The sequence below is a fragment of the Homo sapiens genome, chromosome Y (genome assembly GCF_000001405.40).
Source record: "Homo sapiens chromosome Y, GRCh38.p14 Primary Assembly".
Classification (NCBI taxonomy): Eukaryota; Metazoa; Chordata; class Mammalia; order Primates; family Hominidae; genus Homo; species Homo sapiens.
In genome coordinates this window covers 352,635-367,030 of record NC_000024.10, presented here as the reverse complement: position 1 = coordinate 367,030, position 14,396 = coordinate 352,635, and the positions used below count along the sequence as shown (strand labels likewise).

Here is a 14,396-nt window from a genome sequence, read left to right as displayed (position 1 = left end):
TTTGAGACAGAGTCTCACTCTGTCACCCAGGCTGGAGGACAGTGGTGCGACCTCAGCTCACCGCACCCTCCGCCTCCCGGGTTTAAGCGATTCTCCTGCCTCAGCCTCTCAAGTAGCTGGGATTACAGGCATGCGCCACCACACCTGGTTAATCGTTTGTTTTGTTTTGAGACAGAGTCTCACTCTGTCGCCCAGGCTGGAGTGCAGTAGTGCGATCTCAGCTCACTGCAACCTCTGCCTCCTGTGTTGAAGCGATTCTCCTGCCTCAGCCTCTCAAGTAGCTGGGATTACAGGCATGCGCCACCACACCTGGTTAATCGTTTGTTTTGTTTTGAGACAGAGTCTCACTCTGTCGCCCAGGCTGGAGTGCAGTGGTGCGATCTCAGCTCACTGCAACCTCTGCCTCCTGTGTTGAAGCGATTCTCCTGCCTCAGCCTCCCGAGTAGCTGGGAGTACAGGCACCCTCCACCACACCTGGTTAATCGTTTGTTTTGTTTTGAGACAGAGTCTCACTCTGTCGCCCAGGCTGGAGTGCAGTAGTGCGATCTCAGCTCACTGCACCCTCCGCCTCCTGTGTTGAAGCGATTCTCCTGCCTCAGCCTCTCGAGTAGCTGGGAGTACAGGCACCCTCCACCACACCTGGTTAATCGTTTGTTTTGTTTTGAGACAGAGTCTCACTCTGTCGCCCAGGCTGGAGTGCAGTAGTGCGATCTCAGCTCACTGCACCCTCCGCCTCCTGTGTTGAAGCGATTCTCCTGCCTCAGCCTCTCGAGTAGCTGGGAGTACAGGCATGCGCCACCACACCTGGTTAATCGTTTGTTTTGTTTTGAGACAGAGTCTCACTCTGTCGCCCAGGCTGGAGTGCAGTAGTGCGATCTCAGCTCACTGCAACCTCTGCCTCCTGTGTTGAAGCGATTCTCCTGCCTCAGCCTCTCAAGTAGCTGGGATTACAGGCATGTGCCACCACACCTGGTTAATCGTTTGTTTTGTTTTGAGACAGAGTCTCACTCTGTCGCCCAGGCTGGAGTGCAGTGGTGCGATCTCAGCTCACTGCAACCTCCGCCTCCTGTGTTGAAGCGATTCTCCTGCCTCAGCCTCCCGAGTAGCTGGGATTACAGGCATGCGCCACCACACCTGGTTAATCGTTTGTTTTGTTTTGAGACAGAGTCTCACTCTGTCGCCCAGGCTGGAGTGCAGTGGTGCGATCTCAGCTCACTGCAACCTCCGCCTCCTGTGTTGAAGCGATTCTCCTGCCTCAGCCTCTCCAGTAGCTGGGATTACAGGCATGCGCCACCACACCTGGTTAATCGTTTGTTTTGTTTTGAGACAGAGTCTCACTCTGTCGCCCAGGCTGGAGTGCAGTAGTGCGATCTCAGCTCACTGCAACCTCCGCCTCCTGTGTTGAAGCGATTCTCCTGCCTCAGCCTCCCGAGTAGCTGGGATTACAGGCATGCGCCACCACACCTGGTTAATCGTTTGTTTTGTTTTGAGACAGAGTCTCACTCTGTCGCCCAGGCTGGAGTGCAGTAGTGCGATCTCAGCTCACTGCAACCTCCGCCTCCTGTGTTGAAGCGATTCTCCTGCCTCAGCCTCTCGAGTAGCTGGGAGTACAGGCATGCGCCACCACACCTGGTTAATCGTTTGTTTTGTTTTGAGACAGAGTCTCACTCTGTCGCCCAGGCTGGAGTGCAGTGGTGCGATCTCAGCTCACTGCACCCTCCGCCTCCTGTGTTGAAGCGATTCTCCTGCCTCAGCCTCTCGAGTAGCTGGGAGTACAGGCATGCGCCACCACACCTGGTTAATCGTTTGTTTTGTTTTGAGACAGAGTCTCACTCTGTCGCCCAGGCTGGAGTGCAGTAGTGCGATCTCAGCTCACTGCAACCTCCGCCTCCTGTGTTGAAGCGATTCTCCTGCCTCAGCCTCTCAAGTAGCTGGGATTACAGGCATGCGCCACCACACCTGGTTAATCGTTTGTTTTGTTTTGAGACAGAGTCTCACTCTGTCGCCCAGGCTGGAGTGCAGTGGTGCGATCTCAGCTCACTGCAACCTCCGCCTCCTGTGTTGAAGCGATTCTCCTGCCTCAGCCTCTCCAGTAGCTGGGATTACAGGCATGCGCCACCACACCTGGTTAATCGTTTGTTTTGTTTTGAGACAGAGTCTCACTCTGTCGCCCAGGCTGGAGTGCAGTGGTGCGATCTCAGCTCACTGCAACCTCCGCCTCCTGTGTTGAAGCGATTCTCCTGCCTCAGCCTCCCGAGTAGCTGGGAGTACAGGCATGCGCCACCACACCTGGTTAATCGTTTGTTTTGTTTTGAGACAGAGTCTCACTCTGTCGCCCAGGCTGGAGTGCAGTGGTGCGATCTCAGCTCACTGCAACCTCCGCCTCCTGTGTTGAAGCGATTCTCCTGCCTCAGCCTCCCGAGTAGCTGGGAGTACAGGCACCCTCCACCACACCCGGCTAATTTTTTTTATACTCTTTTTGTTTTTTGTTTTCTGTTTTTTTTTTTTTGTTTTTTTTTTTTTTAGTAGAGATGAAGTTTTGCCATGTTGCCCAGGCTGGTCTTGAACTCCTCAGCTCAGACAGTCTGTCCCCCTCAGCCTCCTTTCAAAGCGCCAGGATTGCAGGCACGAGCCCGGCCGGTTTGAGGGTTTTCGCAGCATCCTGGTGACCGTGAGTTTGGTTTGCAAACCTGCAGGAGAGTCGGCTGTAGCCGTCAGTTCTCGGGGGAGAACTCCCCCCTGCCCAGCTCGTACCAGCAGCTCCAGGTGAAGGCTGCTACTTTCATTCCTGGGGCCGGAGGCGCGCTGGGGATTTACTTGGAGCTCATTCTTCCCACTGAAGGTGACGCGTTCTGGGAGCTTCCCCGGAGGACCCTGCGTTTTGCCTCCTCTTCCCCAGAGCTCTGCAAGGCTGTGAGAGATTTCGGGTGAGCCCGCTCGGCCCACGCTTCTGAAGGCAGAGCCTGTTCAGGCTCCACGGGCTTCCCCGGGTTCTTCCTTCCAGGCAGCTGTGGCCTGAGGTGTCCTCCTTTCCTGCCAGCCTGTGGGCGCCGTCTAGAAGACGTTTGTCAACTATTCTGTCCAGGGTTCTTGGCAGTTTTCATCAGGAAGGTTGGTTTGTGTACCCAGGTCATTGCTATATTGCCAAACACAGGAGCCCGAGAGCTCACTGCAGAATATTCGCGGGGTCAGTTCCGTACCCCAAATAGCAGAGCTGTGTGAACCCAGCGTGATGAAGGAGGAAGAGCCGCAGGCTCCACAGTGGGACCCCCACAGCGAGAGACGGGAAGGCGCCGCTGCGGGAATGCGTTGTGGGCTCGGGAAGATGCACTGTGGGATCGCGGGCTTGGGGAGATGCATTGTGGGATGGTGGGCACAGGGAGATGACTGTGGGATGGTGGGCTCGGGGAGATGCATTGTGGGATTGCGGGCACGGGGAGATGCATTGTGGGATCGTGGACTCATGGAGATGCACTGCGGGATCGCGGGCTCGGGGAGATGCACTGCGGGATCGCGGGCTCGGGGAGATGCATTGTGGGATGCTGGGCTCGGGGAGATGCATTGTGGGATGGTGGGCTCGGGGAGATGCATTGTGGGATCGCGGGCTCGGGGAGATGCACTGTGGGATTGCGGGCTCGGGGAGATGCACTGTGGGATGGTGGGCTCGGAGAGATGCACTGCGGGATGGTGGGCTCGGGGAGATGCACTGTGGGATGGTGGGCTCGGGGAGATGCACTGCGGGATCGTGGGCTCGGGGAGATGCACTGCGGGATCATGGGCTCGGGGAGATGCACTGTGGGATCGCGGGCTCGGGGAGATGCAGGGACCTCCTGCCCCAGGACACAGAGGTCACGTTCTGAATCACAGGGAAGGGGTGTGCCCTTAGGTAAAGCTGTGCTGAAGGAGCACTCAGTCGGCAGCTACTGCGGGAAGCCTGCTCTGCCCCAGGTCACGGAGGCGGCCTCTGTTCCTCCTACATGGGGATCAGAGAAAAACAACTGAGTCTCACCGTGGGTGAGGGTCCTGCAGCGACAGCAGGGTGGGCACAGTTGAGGCGCTGTCAGTGGGACCCTTGTGACCTGGGGTGAGGGTCCTGTGGGAGTAGCAGGGTGGGGACAGTTGGGGCGCTGTGGGACCCTTGTGACCTGCGGTGAGGATACTGTGGCAGTAGCAGGGTGGGGACAGTTGGGGTGCTGTCTGTGGGACCCTTGTGACCTGGGGTGAGGGTCCTGTGGGAGTAGCAGGGCGGGCTGTTTTCTCTGTGTGGACACTGGAGCTTGGACCCAGTCCTGGATTGATCCAGGCAGTCAGGATTGTGGGTGCAAAGGCCCTGAGCTGTGGTCCACTGGTATGCGGACTTCCTCCCTGGACCCCTCCTCCATGGCAGTTGGTTGAGGAGGACACAGCCCCGTCCCCTGAGTAGTTGATGGAGGAGGAGGAGGACGCAGCCCCATTCCCTAGGTAGTTGGTCAAGGAGGACACAGCCCTGTCCCCTGAGTAGTTGATGGGGGAGGACGAAGCCTCGTCCCGAGTAGTTGATGGGGAAGGACACAGCCCCGTTCCCTGGGTAGTTGGAGGAGGAGGAGGACGCAGCCCCGTCCCTTCAGTAGTTGATGGTGGGGGAGGACGCAGCACCGTCCCTTGGGCAGTTGATGGAGGAGGACGCAGTACGGTTGCTGATGCTGTTAACTGTTTCAGATGGTGTTTTAACATCACGGGATGAGATCAAATGTCCACCTCGCAGGTTGTGTAGAGATGCAAGCAGGAGACTCTTGAGTGAGTGTTCTGGGGCCTGCAGATATACTGGGTGAGGAGAGTGCTGGTGCTGAGTGGGGCCAAGAGCCCGTGGGCGTGGGCTGTGCACCGGGTGAGGGGCTGAGGCGTGTCCGCAGCAGTACCTGGTGGTCGACCCCTTCTCCTGGCTGTGTGGTTGCCTGCCCTGCCTCTGCCTCTCAGAATGTGAGTCTTCCGGGCTCCAGGGACAGGGTTGCCTGTGGACGGCACCTGTGCCTCTCCACGTCTGAGCTCTCAGGCGTCTGGGGTGCGTGGCTGCCCTTTTCCCCAGGTCCCTGCCAGGTGTGGTGGGGTCAGTGGTGTGGCTCATGGGAATCGGGAGTGGGTCCTGGCTGGGCTCTCAGGTGCCTGGGGCACGTAGCTGCCCTTGTCCCCAGGGCCCTGCTCGGTGTGATGGGGGCTCAGTGGCGCAGAGCCGCCACCCAGAGTGGGGTCCATGGCAGCATGGTGTGGCCTCCTGGGTGAAGGTGGGCCCTGCAGTGGAGTACGTGTGTGGTCCCCCGCAGGGATTGCAGTGTGTCCTCTCCCGGCTGGGATCAGGTGGCCTCAGCACTGTCGGCCCTAGAGAGGCCCCGTGTGTTGTCCGGGTGAAGAAGGCGTTCGATGCTCCCAGGTTCTAACTGAGCGCTGTCTGTCGACTCTTCAGGTTCAGACACGGAAAGAAGAGCCTCTGCCCCCGGCCACGAGCCAAAGCATTCCGACCTTCTACTTCCCCAGAGGACGCCCGCAGGACTCCGTCAACGTGGATGCCGTCATCAGCAAGATCGAGAGCACCTTCGCCCGGTTCCCCCACGAGAGGGCCACCATGGATGACATGGGCCTGGTGGCCAAGGTACGTGTCACGCGTGGGACGTGGAGCAGCCGAGGTGGTACTGCGGGCATGTGAGGGTGAGGCGGAGCGGCCGTGGTGGGTGCGTGTCACACGAGCGTGAGTGAGGCGGCACGGCCGAGGAGGGTGCGTTTCACACGTGTGCGGGAGCGGCCCAGGTTTTCTCTGAGGTTATAGTTGTGGTCTGAGGTTTGCTGTCTGGTTGCTGCTGTGTGAATTCTTAAGCATCTGAAATGCGAGTGGGAATTCCGTCTGCATTCTCATCCTGATGCTGTGAAGAGCGCAGGCCCGCCCTGTGCCACCCTCCCCTTCTCTCCCCTCCGGGGCCAGTGGCGCCAGCTCTCGTGGCTCTCGGAGGCCGTTCTGCACCCTCCTGGCCTTGCCCCTTTCTGCCCGAGGAGCGGCCATCCCAGGCTGGGCAGCTGTGGACCCGTCTCCTGGCAGCAGCCCCATGGGCCCATTTCTAGACTCACCCTGAGTGCTGCGGCGCGGCGTGCATCATTCGCCGCCTGCTTTCCTTCTCAGCTGCATGCTCTCCAGGCTGACCGCCTGGACGCCCACAGATGGAGCACACTCAGTTTAGTGTCTGTCCGTTACCAAGGCAAGGCCTACACCAGAGATGCGTGTCTGGACCCCTGGTGGGTGGTTGTGTTTCCAGGGACCTGTGCCCGCATCTCCAGCCTCCTACCCTCCAGGTGGAGTCGCTGGCCAGTGGATGCTCCCACCCCTCCAAGTCAGAGCCCCAGAGCCTCGGTGCACGGTACATGTGAGCCCCTCACGGTGAGACCCCTGCCCCCCAGCCCTCTCCAGCTCTGCAGCTGTGAAGGGGGTCCTCGGGAGTGAGCAGGTTTTTGTTTTTTGGGTTTGCTTGTTTGAGACAAAGTCTTGCTCTGTCACCCAGGCTGGAGTGCAGTGGTGTAATCTCGGCTCACTGCAACCTCCACCTTCTGGGTTCAAGTGATTCTCCTGCCTCAGCCTCCCAAGTAGCTGGGACTATAGGCATGCACCACCATGCCTGGCTAATTTTTATATTTTTAGTAGACATGGGGTTTCACCATATTGGCCAGGCTGGTCTTGAACTCCTGACTTCAAGTGATCCGCCTGCCTCGGCCTCCCAAAGTGCTGGGATTACAGGCATGAGCCACTGCACCTGGCCGGGTTTTGTTTTTTTAACTTATTAATACAGTCTATTAAATGAGTTGGTTTTGGGATGTTAAACCAACCTTGCATTCCTGGGATAAATTCCGCATGGTCGCTGTGTCTCATCTTTTTTATATGTTGCTGGATTCCAATAATTTTGCAACTGGATTCACAGAGAAGACAGTGCTTGGTAGTTTTCTTGTGAGTCCTTTGTCTGGTTTTGGTTTTAGGGCAATACGGGTCTGAAAGAACACATTAAGTGTCCCCGCCCTTTTTCTATTAGGGATTGTGTTTTTAAAGTATTTTAAAAAGTTTTGTTTTATAAATATGTAAAAACCTCCATGGTTACAAAGTGAGCACTAACAAACTAGACACATTCAGGTAAGTCCAGGTTCTGTCCCTGTCTGTGCTGTTTCTACCCCAGAGGTAATAGTTTCCATAGCTTTGGTTTATCCTCTTATTGTTATTTTAGCTTTTAATATGAGCAATTATGTACAAATATGTGTATGAGTATGAACATACATACTTCTTGCATTTCTTAGAGAAAAATTAGCATGCTGTTGTACACTTGCATATTTGTTTTTGCTAAGTCACTCCGTATTTGTAGAGGTGTCCCTGTCTTGTACGGCAGTGTGGGGCCATGAAAGGACCAGATAAGTCACAACCATGCAAAACCATCTTCCAGTAAAAATTAGGATCATTCTATAATCATTTTTGTTGAAATATTAGAAACTTTCTTACAGTCGGTTGCAAACATGTAGTGAATGAAAAGAACTAATATTTACCTAGTATGCTGTAACTTAAAACACCAGAAGCATTAAGAATTGTTTCATCTCTCAGTAAAAACTTGCCAAAAGTAGTTACAGCAGTGCCATCTCCTTGTCCCGTGTGGAGTGAGCACCTGCTCCGTGCCCTGGCAGACTCACTCGACTTAACACGCCTTGCTCAGCTTCCGCGTTTTATCCTTGGTGCTCTTGAAGTTGTGGGGTATCTCTGAGAGTTCCTTCACTGGGAGGTCTCTTTGCTGGCATTCCGTCTGCTGGGACACCTTCATCCTTTTCAGTACAGCCTCCGTTGTGTGGAGAACTCACCCTCGCGGAGTGCGCCCGGCCCCACCCACAGGGTCTCTGCGCGCCTCGGGCTGGGTCAGACACCTCTTTTGCAGCTCACGCGCTGCGTCCGCTTCGGGTCCTACAAAGCCGCTCGCGCAGCCCAGTGAGGTTCCTGCATGGGACCCATGTATTCCCCTCAGTGCTTCCCCGCCACGATGCCCCTCCCCGGCCGCGGTGCTTCCCCGCCAGGGCGCCGCCCCGCCCTCCCCTACCCCCGCCGCGGTGCTTCCCCGCCAGGGCGCCCGTCCCCACGGTGCTTCCCCGCCACAGCGCCCCTCCCCACGCGGTGCTTCATCCCCACGGTGCTTCTCCCCAACGGCGCCTCCCCCCACCGTGGTGCCGCCCCCCACAGCGGCCACCCCCCCTCCGCGGTGCTTCCCCGCCTCGGCGCCTGGTTCTCATGTGCGCGTTTCATGTCATTTTCCTTCCAGGACTCAGTTCTCGGTGTCACCTCGCTTCCACGCACAGCGGCACTGGCCTTGGTGGCCGTCTAAGGTAGTGAGGCTTTAAGACTTGAAAGAACCTGGTCCGTTGGCTGGATGTCACGTTTGGTGGTAAAAAGCAAGTTTTGTCGTTGTCTTCGACGCCCCAGAGAAGCAGGGTGACCTGGGTGTGACCCAGCGGGGCAGGGGAGAGCTCTGAGACTGAAGTTGTGTCGCTTGCAGCGTCTGCACCGCTGGGAGTCCGAGAGACACCTCCACAGGCCCCACTGTGCCTGCACGCACCGACCCGGCCCTGCAGGCGGAGAGCATGGTGCTCGAGCACCCACCGTGACTGTGGGCAGAGGCCAGCAGGGTGTGCGCTGTCGCGACTTAATCCACCTGCGCTGTGGCGGCAGAACCCTGTGAGCGTCCCGCGTGTGTGGGGGCCGCAGGCAAACTTCAGCTTCCCCGCCAAGGCTGCTGAGCCTGTCTCGGTGGCGCCCAGCTCGCCGCCACCTGCAGATGTCCGTCCACGTCTCCATCGTGTGCCTTTGGGACGGTTTTCTGTGAGCCGGGCCCCCGGCCCAGGGGACGAACGAGTAGGGGTGTCACTGCCGTTTCGAGTTCTCCCCGTCGCGTGAGTGACTGAATGAGGGCCTGGAGTCACAGCTCCACACGCGTGTTGTCAGGCGGGTGGACTTTGGCCGGCGGCTGCTTGAGAACTCACGTCTGAGGGGACTTTGAGTTTGATGAGGGGGGTCCCCCCGTGGATCTTAGCCGTGGCCGTGCAGCGAGGTCCGTGTGTGCCTTCTCCTGGCCCGGTTCTTCCTGTCTGTGTGAGTCAGGGCTGATCTCATACATCATTTCCTCCCTTTCATCATTGTCACTCCTCTGTGTTTTCTCTGAAGCCGTTTGAGACAGAGTCATCAGCTCCTTCACCTCCACCAAACTCCACCCCCTCAGCTGCCCCCACAGGAAAACACACTTTTCTCTTTGTTAATTTCCTTCAAACGTTGTTGGCTAATTCAGGGTTTTCATTTATGGAGACTATTTTGATGATTTACATTTTTTCTAAAAATTTTTTGCGTAACTTAGAAATTTCTTGCTCTAAAGCTTTTCCTTGTCTTGTACGATTTACAAAATCTTGATCGTATCTGCATCATACATAGACACTTTCTTGACAGAATCATTTATTTCCGGTTCCTTTCTTGATCCGTCATGCTACACACTAACGTATATCTCTTTCAGTAAAGCAGCTGTCAGTGTTACAGATTATTTCAGTTCTTTCTCTCATGAATATCTATGGTCATCTTTTTTACATACACTTCCTTCTGTCATTTTTTTTAGTTTATTGAATAGTTTTTTGTTTGGCCAGCTGTATTGTCATATAATTACACACCCTAAGATTCACCAATTTTAAGTGTACAATTTGATCCATTTTGGTAAAGCACACACCTGGGTATCCATCCTCATAGGCAGGACCGGCCGTTTGTCACCTGCCGCGGGTGTCCCACGTGCCTCCTTTTGCACCTCATCATTCCCCTCTTTTCTCCCTGGCCCGGGCCAGCTGCAGATGTGCTTCCGGTCGCTGTAGCTTTGCCTCTCTTAGAATTTCACATGAGGACTCTTGGAGCATTTTGTCTGTGGTTTCTAACTTCTTCCTGGCAGCATCTTTATTTTAAATTTTATTTTGAATGGACAAGTAATATTTGTGTATACAGGGTACAGCAAGATGTTTCGCTATGTGTGTGTGTTGAGGACTGATTAAGTCCTGTGGTGTGGATACTGTGGGGCTCGCTGTGTGGCTGGCGAAGGCGTGGTTACCGTGGGGCTCGCTGTGTGGCTGGCGGGGTGTGGATACTGTGGGGCTCGCTGTGTGGCTGGCCAAGGCGTGGTTACCGTGGGGCTCCCGTGTGGCTGGCCAGGGTGTGGATACTGTGGGGCTCACTATGTGTCCCTGGCCGTATGGGCAGTTTCTTTTCTATCACTGAGTAGCTTCTGCTGTGTGTGTGCTCCATCTCTCCCCTGTTCCAGGGTTGATAGACGTCTGGTTGCTTTGGTTTTTGCTTCTTGTGAGTAAAGCTGCTGTGTGTCTGTGCACTGATTTACGCAGACATGCTTGCATTTTCCTGAGGTGATTAATACCGCAGAGGTGAGCTCTGCCTCATCTGGTGGCCACATGTTTAGTTTTGTAAGAAGCTATAAAACTGCTTCCAGGGCCCAGGAGTGGTGGCTCACTCCACTAATCCCAGCACTTCGGGAGGCTGAGGTAGGCAGATCACCTGAGGTCAGGAGTTCGAGGCCAGCCTGGCCAACATGATGAAACCACATCTCTACTAAAAATACAAAAATTAGCCAGGTATGGTGGCGGGCACCTGTCATTCCAGCTACTCGGGAGGCTGAGACAGGAAAATCGCTTGAACCTGGGAGGTGGAGGTTGCAGTGAGCCAAGATCGCACCACTGCACTCCAGCCTGGGCGACTGAGCAAGACTGTGTCTCTACGCAAAAAAACAAAAAACAAAAAACCCTGCTTCCGGGGTGGCCCTGAGTGACGCATTTCCAGGCAGCAGCGTTGACCCCTGCGGGCACGTGGCCACACGCTTTGCCTTTAGCCGTTCTGTGCGTGTGCAGGCGTCCCGTCCTGGCTGCACTCCTCATTTCCCTGATGTACGTGTTGACCACCTTACGTGTTTCTTTCTCATCAGTTTGCCTTTTTTTCATTTTGGGGCAGCTGTGTTGAGATATAACTGATGTGGGATGCATGGTGCGTGTGGAAGGTACAATTCAATGAGCTTTGACGTCTGTACCCACCCATGAAACTATCCACAGCACCAAGACAATAGGCGTCCCTGCATCCTTGCGCTTGAGCGGGCACGTGCGCTGGACTTTTCTCTGCTGCTTTCTGACGCGCACCTGCCCTCATCCCACGCTACCTCAGGCCTCCTTTCTGTCAATATAGATTAGCCGGAATTTTCTGGAATTTTATGTAAACAGAATCAGACAGCAGGCACTTTTTTTTATTATGGGAAAATTCACACAACAGAATTCACCACCGTAACCATTTGGAGCACAGAACTCGGAGACGTTTGTGGCATATACAGCACGGTGTTCCATGTGCGTGTGTGGAGGGCCGGATCGCGTGGTGTTCCGTGTGCGCGTGCAGTTCCACTTCCGGCTTTCTGGGGAACCTGCACGCTGTCTTCCCGAGTGGCTGCACCGTTGTTCGTTCCCACCGTGTGAATTTTAGAGCCGGTCCCTCCGTTGCTACGACAGCCTGCTGGGATTACATGGGCATCCTGTTGACTCCAGATGAACTTGGAAGAATCTTGACCATATTGAGGCTTCCGTCTCATGAACGCGGTCCAGCTCTCCCTTATTTCAGGCATCTTTCACTTCTTTCAGTACGCCTTGTAGTTTGGTCTTGTTCACGGTTCATCACATTGATACCCAAGCATTTCCTGTTTCTGATGACACTGTACGTGGTATTTTTTTACTTTAATATGATTGTCAATTGTGAATGTTGAGAAGCACTGTTAGGTTTTATATGTGGACTTTGCATTTTCTGACCAAGTTTAACTCAGTCATCGGCTCTACCAGCTCAACCTTTAAGTCCGGCAGAGTCTCTAACGCACGGTCAGGTCATCTTCAGGTGAGCACAGTTCAGCCTTTCTCTTCTCGTCTGCATCGGTGTCTCCTCCCTGACTTTCTGTACACAGGCTCGGCCTGCCAGTGCAGTGCTGGAGAGCCGTGGAGAGCACGCCCCTTCCCGCCTCGGGCTCAAGTCGTCCGTGACGCAGCGGCCCTGCCTGGCGTCCTTCATCAGACTCAGGAGGCCCCTTCCCTTTTGGTTTCTTGTTTGCTGGGAGCTCTTGTGTTTTTTTTGAGACAGGTTCTCATTCTGCCCCCGGGCTGGAGTGCAGTGGCATGATCTCAGCTCACTGCAGCCTCGACCTCCTGGGCTCCAGTGATCCACCCACCTCAGCCCTCCCGAGTAGCCGTGACTACTGGCACCCGCCACCACACCTGGCTGATTTTTTCTTTTTTGGTAGAGACAGGGTTCTGCTATGTTGCCCAGGCTGGTCTGGAACTCCTGGGCTGGAAGGATCCTCTTGCCTCAGCCTCTCATGGTGCTGGGATGATGACAGGCATGAGCCATCACGCCTGGCCTCAGTTTACTTTTTAAAATTATAAAAGTGCCTTGAAGTTTGTCCGGGATGCTAAATGTGTATTTCTGCGTGTATTGAGAGGGCAGTGAGGTTTTCCTTTGGTCCTGTAAAAGGTGAATGGACCTGACTGACGTCTGAGTGTGAAGGCAGCCCCGGTCCTTGGGTGAGCCCCCGGTCCCTGTTCCACCGCAGCGTGCATTGCCCGGCCACGCAGGGGTAGCGTCTGTGGTCATGAAGGACTGGTCTTGACCTGACTGACGTCTGAGTGTGAAGGCAGCCCCGGTGTTTGGGTGAGCCCCTGGTGTTTGGGTGAGCCCCCAGTGTTTGGGTGAGCCCCCGGTCCCTGGGTGAGCCCCCGGTCCCTGGGTGAGCCCCCGGTGTTTGGGTGAGCCCCTAGTCCCTGGGTGAGCCCCCGGTGTTTGGGTGAGCCCCCAGTCTTTGGGTGAGCCCCCTGTGTTTGGGCGAGCCCCTGGTCCCTGGGTGAGCCCCGGTCTTTGGGCGAGCCCCGGTCTTTGGGTGAGCCCCTGGTCCCTGGGCGAGCCCCTGCTCCCTGGGTGAGCCCCGGTCTTTGGATGAGCCCTGGTCTTTGGGTGAGCCCTGGTCTTTGGGTGAGCCCCTGCTCCCTGGGTGAGCCCCCGGTCCCTGGGCGAGCCCCAGTCTTTGGGTGAGCCCCCGGTCTTTGGGTGAGCCCTGGTCTTTGGGTGAGCCCCCGGTCCCTGGGCGAGCCCCGGTCTTTGGGCGAGCCCCTGCTCCTTGGGTGAGCCCCAGTCTTTGGGTGAGCCCCGGTCTTTGGGTGAGCCCCCGGTCTTTGGGTGAGCCCCCAGCCCCCGGTCCCTGGTCCACCACACAGTGTCACACTTCTCCTATGTGTTGGGTCCACATTGCCAGGCCTCGCAGGGGTTGCGTCTGCGCTCGTGAAGGACTGGCCTGCGGTCTCCTTTTCTTGTGATAGCTTGGTCTGGTTTAGCATCGGGGGGATGCTGGCCTCGGAGAGTTGCTTGGAAAATGTCCTTTAGAATTCACTTTTCTGGAGCCATTTGTTTAGAATGGGTGTTATTTTTATTTGAATGTTTGGTAGAACTCATCAGTGAAGCCATTTGGGATAGTTTTCTCTGTGGGAAGGTTTTTAATGACAGCATGAATTGTTTCAATAAACACAGGCTGTCTGTATCATCTTTTCTCTTTTTTTTTTGGAGACAGAGTCTTGCTCTGTCACCCAAGCTGGAGTGCAATGGCACCATCTCACCTCACTGCAACCTCCGCCTCCTGGGTTCAAGCCATTCTCCTGCCTCAGCCTCCTGGGTAGCTGGGATTACAGGCATGCGCCACCACACCCGGCTAATTTGTGTATTTTTAGGAGAGATGGGGTTTCACCATGTTGGCCATGCTGGTCTCGAACTCTTGACCTCGGGTGATCCACCCGCCTTGGCGTCTCAAAGTGCTGGGATGACAGGCCTGAGCCACCGCACCCGGCCACTGCCACCCACTTTTAGACCATCGGATCTCACAAGAACTCAGGATTACGAGACCAGCAAGGGGGCTGTCCACCCTCATCACCCAGTCACCCCCCAGCAGAGCCCTGCTCCAACACTCAGGATCACAGTTCCCCGTGAGACTTGGGTGGGGGCTCCGAGCCACAGCCCACCACTGGTTCATGTGACCCTGAAGACTCCTCCGGCTCCGCGATGTCACTCGCTCACATAGCTTGGCAGCGTTTTCACATCTTTACGTGTCTGCAGATCGTCCTCTTGTCCCGTCACCCGCCGAGGAACGCGTGCTGAACTTGCCGGCCGTGGTTGTGGCGTCCTCCTTTCTCCTCTCACACCTGTCGGTTGGTGTCGGCGTGCCCTGTGCGACTGTAGACGCTCGGGACTTTGTCTGCCTCGCGAGTCCCCCTCAGCAGCACCATCACGTGGGCCTTGGGGCCGGCGG

General features: G+C 55.9%; 1 protein-coding gene across 8 annotated transcripts in view, besides 3 other annotated features; it reads left to right on the top strand.

Moving 5' to 3' along the window:
- PPP2R3B (protein phosphatase 2 regulatory subunit B''beta) overlaps window positions 1-14,396 on the top strand; it is a 52,975-nt gene that overhangs the window by 19,877 nt on the left and 18,702 nt on the right. For 5 of the 8 annotated variants that reach the window (NM_013239.5, XM_047442728.1, XM_047442723.1 and 2 more), the window contains exon 2: window positions 5,441-5,626. In NM_013239.5, coding sequence (NP_037371.2) covers window positions 5,441-5,626 — 186 coding nt within the window. Of the gene's footprint in view, window positions 1-2,555; window positions 3,112-4,698; window positions 4,777-5,440; window positions 5,627-14,396 lie in introns of those variants that run through there. The other 3 variants (XM_047442726.1, XM_047442727.1, XM_047442725.1) reach the window with 2 other exon arrangements.
- Window positions 3,078-3,592: an enhancer, noted in NCBI's record as "H3K27ac-H3K4me1 hESC enhancer chrY:274174-274688 (GRCh37/hg19 assembly coordinates)". NCBI's record gives its function as "activates a minimal SCP1, AML or CMV promoter by ChIP-STARR-seq in primed H9 embryonic stem cells {active_cell/tissue: H9 hESC(primed)}" and the evidence as "EXISTENCE:reporter gene assay evidence [ECO:0000049][PMID:30033119]".
- Window positions 3,593-4,098: an enhancer, noted in NCBI's record as "H3K27ac-H3K4me1 hESC enhancer chrX:323668-324173 (GRCh37/hg19 assembly coordinates)". NCBI's record gives its function as "activates a minimal SCP1, AML or CMV promoter by ChIP-STARR-seq in primed H9 embryonic stem cells {active_cell/tissue: H9 hESC(primed)}" and the evidence as "EXISTENCE:reporter gene assay evidence [ECO:0000049][PMID:30033119]".
- Window positions 3,593-4,108: an enhancer, noted in NCBI's record as "H3K27ac-H3K4me1 hESC enhancer chrY:273658-274173 (GRCh37/hg19 assembly coordinates)". NCBI's record gives its function as "activates a minimal SCP1, AML or CMV promoter by ChIP-STARR-seq in primed H9 embryonic stem cells {active_cell/tissue: H9 hESC(primed)}" and the evidence as "EXISTENCE:reporter gene assay evidence [ECO:0000049][PMID:30033119]".